Here is a 6,000-nt window from a genome sequence, read left to right as displayed (position 1 = left end):
TACTAATCAGAGCACATATAAATTAGAATGAATCATAGTCATATAGTTAATAGCAAACAAAGCTCAATTTAGTTCATGTCCAGCTTTCTTCGTGTTCATTTTACTCAAGGGCATACCTTCCTTTTTCTGCTTCTTTTTTTTCTTTCTTTCTTGGACACCTCCAACCCCCATTGACAACCGAAATGCAGGGCTATAAACATAAGGGTGCAATACATCATGAGATAAGTCTGGAGAACATGTCCTCTACCAAAATGCACATGAATCTCTGGTACAGCTAAAATTCCAGAAACATGCTGGGGTTCCTTTTGCATGCTAAGCAGGGTCAAAAATGTGAGCACTATGTGGTTGCCCTTATATATCAGATGAGCTCTAAAGTTGAAAGGTTACATTTGTGAAATTGCGGCTGGGTTTCCTAGCACTTGATTCTAGCTCCTGCAAATCAAAGACTCCTAATTGAAATACAAATCCAACAATATGATAATCTTTCAGTAAAAAAAAAAAAAAAAAAAAAACGTGACTTCTGCACCCTTATCTGTTGAAGAGCTGACAGAGAAGTTCAGAGGCAGTTGTTTAACCAGACAAAATGATAGAGAAAATATGTTTTCAAATAAGATCATAAACCTTGAACAGTGCCTTGTGGGAAGCAAATGTAAAGCAAAGGGCTGTCCTCTATTCTGTCTACCAGCTCTACTCCCCCACCCCGGTGTGTATCCTCAGCCACTCACCTTTTAGGCAAGGGCTAGTGTCTTTCAGGACAGACCCAAACCCCAAATACCAAAACAGAATAAAGTAGTGTCTTAGCATACTTTGAGATCAGACTGTTTCTGCATTTCACAGTGCTGGGGGTGGGGGGGAGGTGTGGGGGGAAGGGAAAAGCAGCATACCAATGTAGTGAAATCTGGAAACAACAGCATATATACAGACACAAAAAAAGTTTGCATATTGCACAGAGCACTTGAAGATCATAAATCTATGCATGAGAAAGATGTAGTGGAAATTTTGGGGGGGATTAGAGTTTATTTTTGTCATCTCTGTGAGACAGCTACTCATTCATCCAGATCACAGCTAAGAAAAAAGCTGGTCACAGAAATTAGCAGTTTCAGCTCAGCAGCGAAGTCGCCAGCCTGTGAAGGCAGAGAGAAATTGACTAATTAGCAATGCGCACTAAAACTTGACGGTTCTTTATAGAGAGAGAGAAGAGAGAGGGAGAGAGAGGGAGAGGGAGGGAGGGGGGGCTCGCTTTTTCCCCTTCTTTCTTCCAAAGATGTTTGAAATCGCAGTCATTTACGCTCGACAATTTTTACAATAGCCTTGAGCCATAATTTTGCGAGTCTCTCCAGCATCCATCCCCCTGTATGGTCTCTCTCTACTGGCCAAGCACGACCGTTTCTCTCCCCAACCGTGGATTTCCTATTACTCTCGTTACGACTCACTGAGCCCCAGGCCCAAGGATAATGATGTGTTGTTTCTTGGTAGCATAATTTGTCACACGTACATTTTTTCTTCTTCTTCTCTTGCAGAAAGCTCTGCTCCCTCTCTCTCTCCCTCTCTCTTTCTCTCTTTTCTCCCTCTCCTACATTTTCTTGCTGTTGCTAATTCATGGTGATCAAATGATGTACGACAAAATAAATTGTAAAGAGTGACTGCCTGGAGTTGGGAACCAGAAGGTGTTTTCCCCCTCCCAAGGAGACAGCAAACCTTTAAAAAGGAAGGACAATTGATTTTTGGGGGGAGCTTAAGTGAGCCTTGACTTTGCAGCTGGTTGAGAACAGGTAAGTTTCTGGCCTTGTGTCTGCCTTGTGTGTATTTTGTTCTGTCTTTTGGATTGTTGGAGGGGGAAGGGCCGGGGAGGGAGTCTTTCAGAGGGGTTGGCGGGGGGGTAGTTGTATGGCAAACGCTCATAAAGAAAAAACTCCTATTGCAAGAAATAAGCAGATGAGGAGGAAAGGCAAGGGAGAAGAACAAGAAGGAAGGGGAATAGGAAAAGATGGGGCGGGGGGAGACAACGAAGCGGAGAGAGCTAGAGAGAGGTATGACCGGGTCCTCTTAAAGGGAGAGAGACTCTGTAAGATGTTTCAGGCAAGCCAGAGCTTTGGGGGCGGGCGTGGGGGTGCTGCCGGCGGAGGGAGCGCGAGGGAGGGTAGGGTCCACCTGGAACGGGATGGTAAAGTGAGTCGAAAGGAGCCCAGTCCGGTATAAATAGGAAGCCGGCGATCCAGGACCGGCGCCAGGCAGGGCAGAGTGAGCCGCAGTGGAAGGGGCAGGTCCGCCGGGATCCCTCCGAGCCGGGCGGCGGCGGCGGCTCTCCCCCGGGCGGGCGGGCCGGCGGGCCGGCGGGCCGGCGCGCGGGCGGGATGCAAGCAGAGGGTCCCTTTCTGCTCAGCCCTGGAAGGTGCAATTACAGGTTAAGGACCTGGCGTATCGATTTCGCCTCGCCTCCCCCACCCTGCCCTCCTCTGCCTAGATGCGGGCGGCTCAGACTTTTTACAGAAGTAGTTCCAGGGCCGGGGAAGTGGGGGTGCCCGAGTGGGGGGCCGCTGGGGGCTCTACCGAGGGGGTCAGAAGGGAGCTGCGGCTGCAGGCGACGATGCTGGGTGGGGCGCAGAGACCCCGCACCCCACTGCTCCCCCGCCCCCCCGCTCGTTCGACAGCCCCCACCCCTCCCCCAACACCTGCCTTCTAACTTGAACTTCTCATAGTTACTGGAGTTAAAGCGACTGCGCCTGGTGCCCGGGAGGGGAAACCGTGCACACGAATCCCTCCCGGCCTCCAGGCCTCCCGGCTCCCTCTCCAAACGCGTCCTCGCAGCCCCACTTCCTCCCCCTGAGTCCTCGGTGCCGCCCCTCGCTGGAAGGGGAGATTGATGCCTGAACTTCCGCGCTTTGAAATGAGCGAGACGGGGGAGAGGGGGCCACCGGGTGGGGGTGGCGGTGGTGGAAGGATTCTCCTGCCAGGTTTAAAGCCATCTCTGGAAAATTAGCCAAACTGAGTGGTGACGGGGAAGCCAACAGTTTGCGAAGCGGGGAAGCGGGCAGGGCCAGGTTGAGGGAAATGAGCTCGAATTGATAAGGACAGCTCCCGCCTCTGCCGATTCCACTGAGCGGGTCCTCACCGCGCTCCGCTGCACTTTCCCGGGAGAAGAAAGGGCTTTATCTCCTCCCTCAGACTATTAGCCTAGGAGTTTCTCGGGGCAGCATGGATAATCGAAGGGGGTCCCAGCTTTTGGAGAGCTAAGATTCGCACACCCCGCACGCTGGTCGGGCCCCTGTTCCTACCCCCTCCCCCAAACTGGGCCAACTGCGAAAAGCAAAGCTTCGGGCACAAGTTGACCTGGAACCTTCGCCGTCGGTCGCCTCTGAGCTTTCAGGGCACCCCCGGCTCCCCACTTCCCGGCCTTTCCCTTCATCTGGCCCGGCATGGACACGAGCCCACGAGGTGCCTCGGCCTCAGCCGCCACTTTGCCGTCGCTGCTGCCACTGCTGTTGCTGCCAACAGCCGAGCTGAGGTGGTTGGTTTTAGGAAAGTGAGGGACGAAGTGTGTGGGAGGTGGCGAGAGGAGCCGCAGGGCGCAGAACCGGCGCCGGGACCCCAGACAGGGCCCTTCTGGTGGCGCTCACGGATCCAGCGTCTTCGGACTTTCCTCCTAGGGTCGGGGTCCGGAGCGCGCCAGGAGGGAGTCAAGCTGAGCCTTGATTCTTGTTCTTCGCCCTCCCCTCCCCTCCACACCCTTCCCCACCCCGACCACACCCCACCCGCTCCACCACCCTGCTCCCCTCCCTCCCATCCCCCACCCCTGTCTGCCAGGTTGGAGGAGGGTTTAAAGCCAGGTGCACCGAGTCAGCTCGCCATGTCCAGATCCGGGGACAGGACCTCCACCTTCGACCCCAGCCACAGCGACAACCTGCTGCACGGCCTCAACCTGCTGTGGAGGAAGCAGCTGTTTTGCGACGTGACCCTGACGGCCCAGGGCCAGCAGTTCCATTGCCACAAGGCCGTGCTGGCCTCCTGCTCGCAGTACTTCCGATCGCTCTTCTCCAGCCACCCCCCTCTCGGGGGAGGGGTCGGCGGCCAGGACGGCCTGGGGGCCCCCAAGGACCAGCAGCAGCCGCCGCAGCAGCAGCCGTCACAGCAGCAGCAGCCGCCGCCGCAGGAGGAGCCCGGGACTCCTTCTTCCTCCCCCGACGACAAGCTGCTGACCAGCCCCCGGGCCATCAACAACCTGGTGCTGCAGGGCTGCTCGTCCATCGGGCTGCGCCTGGTGCTCGAGTACCTCTACACGGCCAACGTGACCCTGTCCCTGGACACGGTGGAGGAGGTGCTGTCGGTCAGCAAGATCCTGCACATCCCCCAGGTCACCAAGCTCTGCGTGCAGTTCCTCAACGACCAGATCTCGGTGCAGAACTACAAGCAGGTGTGCAAGATCGCCGCGCTGCACGGCCTGGAGGAGACCAAGAAGCTGGCCAACAAGTACCTGGTGGAGGATGTGCTGCTGCTCAACTTCGAGGAGATGCGCGCCCTGCTGGACTCGCTGCCGCCCCCCGTGGAGTCGGAGCTGGCGCTCTTCCAGATGTCCGTGCTGTGGCTGGAGCACGACCGCGAGACCCGCATGCAGTATGCGCCTGACCTCATGAAGCGCCTCCGCTTCGCCCTCATCCCGGCCCCGGAGCTGGTGGAGCGGGTCCAGTCAGTGGATTTCATGCGAACCGACCCGGTCTGCCAGAAGCTGCTGCTGGACGCCATGAACTACCACCTGATGCCCTTCAGGCAGCACTGCAGGCAGAGCCTGGCCAGCAGGTAGGAGACAACAAAGAGGAGGGCGGGGGAGGGGGGGGTAGAGCCAGAGAGGCCGGAGGGAGGGGAGGGGGCAGGGAGGAGGGAAGAGATGGGTGGCCTGGGCGGGTGGCTCTGGCAGGATGAAAACAAACGCAAACAATTCAGAGTGTGTGAGGAAAGTTGATTTCAGAGTCCCTGAAAGGTCAATAGGGAACTGGCCTAGCAGCATCCCTGAGCGCTCCAAAGCCGAGGTTCTAGATATCCCCAGAGCCGTAAACATGGGAATTGTGGACTCAGACTGAAATTGACAGGCAGATGGGGCCAAAGGCCAGGACAGTTAGAAGTGTAGCTTTGGAAGTCTCTCTAAGCCAGCTCTCCCTACAAATCTTAAGATGGGCTTGCTCAAGAAAAAGGATCCTGTGGTGAGGAATGCCCACCCCACCCCTCCTCAGTTCTGCCTTGGGTGAGCAGAAGAGCCCAGGCGATGCTTGCAAAGGAAGGCTTTCATGGTCTTGCCGTCACACACTCAAGTTGTTTCTTCATGACTGGGATCTGCTCCCTGTCGATGTCAGAACTCCAAAATGCTTTGTCTATTAGGGTCACTATTGGAAATGCTGGTATCATGTGCCCAGGCAAACTTTTCTATGTTGTGGAAAGCCTTTCCTTTTCACTTTTAAAGGAGAGTAAAGCAAGAGATTTCAGGGTGATGGGGTGAATCTTGCCTAGCAACTCCCATTTCTGAGAAGAGTGCACTTGAAAATTGGGATGGAGGAGTGGAGAGGCTTCTAGCTCCAGTTGGTCTGTGTGCCTGCTCACCAGTGACAAAGAAGTTGGAGAGTTGCTGCTGCCTCTGTTGTTGCTAGTTAGAAATGTGGCTGTGTGTGTTGCAAGTAGGATTTCAGGGGAGAGAGAAATGATGCCTTTTAAAAATGCTGCTGAGATAAAAAGGCTGTAGGAATTGACAATCGTGTTTTATTGGCTCCAATTTTAAAACCATTTTTAATGAGCCCTAGCAAAGGGTTTCTTTCTCTTTTTAGAAAAGAGAAACAGTATCCTCTCAGTTTCTCATGATAAAACATCATGATTCCAGATGCCAGGCTACTCCAGCCTAACCACCAAAGTGTTACAAAGTGTAGCAAAGTACATGGTTTGAAAATCTAGCAGGGCATTTTCCCAGTCAGAATGATGTCTAAAGAATGGGGCCCACCTTGTGCAGCCTTATAGAAT

General features: G+C 54.3%; 1 protein-coding gene and 1 long non-coding RNA gene across 3 annotated transcripts in view; one reads left to right on the top strand and one right to left on the bottom strand.

Annotated features, from left to right (window-relative positions):
* Positions 1–997: 997 nt before the first annotated feature.
* LOC105372055 (uncharacterized) lies at positions 998–3,763 on the bottom strand. Its single transcript, XR_935342.4, has 2 exons — positions 2,152–3,763; positions 998–1,124 (listed from the first exon to the last, which is right to left on the bottom strand). It is a non-coding gene; the product is annotated as an uncharacterized LOC105372055 (long non-coding RNA).
* Positions 1,416–6,000, top strand: part of KLHL14 (kelch like family member 14) — a 100,351-nt gene continuing 95,766 nt past the window's right edge. For both annotated transcript variants that reach the window (NM_020805.3, XM_047437684.1), the window contains exons 1-2: positions 1,416–1,772; positions 3,805–4,794. In NM_020805.3, the coding sequence (NP_065856.1) occupies positions 3,848–4,794 (947 nt within the window). In that variant the 5' untranslated portion in view covers positions 1,416–1,772; positions 3,805–3,847. The remainder of the gene's footprint in view (positions 1,773–3,804; positions 4,795–6,000) is intronic.

The sequence above is a fragment of the Homo sapiens genome, chromosome 18, assembly GCF_000001405.40.
Source record: "Homo sapiens chromosome 18, GRCh38.p14 Primary Assembly".
Lineage (NCBI taxonomy): Eukaryota > Metazoa > Chordata > Mammalia > Primates > Hominidae > Homo > Homo sapiens.
This window is presented reverse-complemented; position numbering and strand designations above follow the sequence as displayed.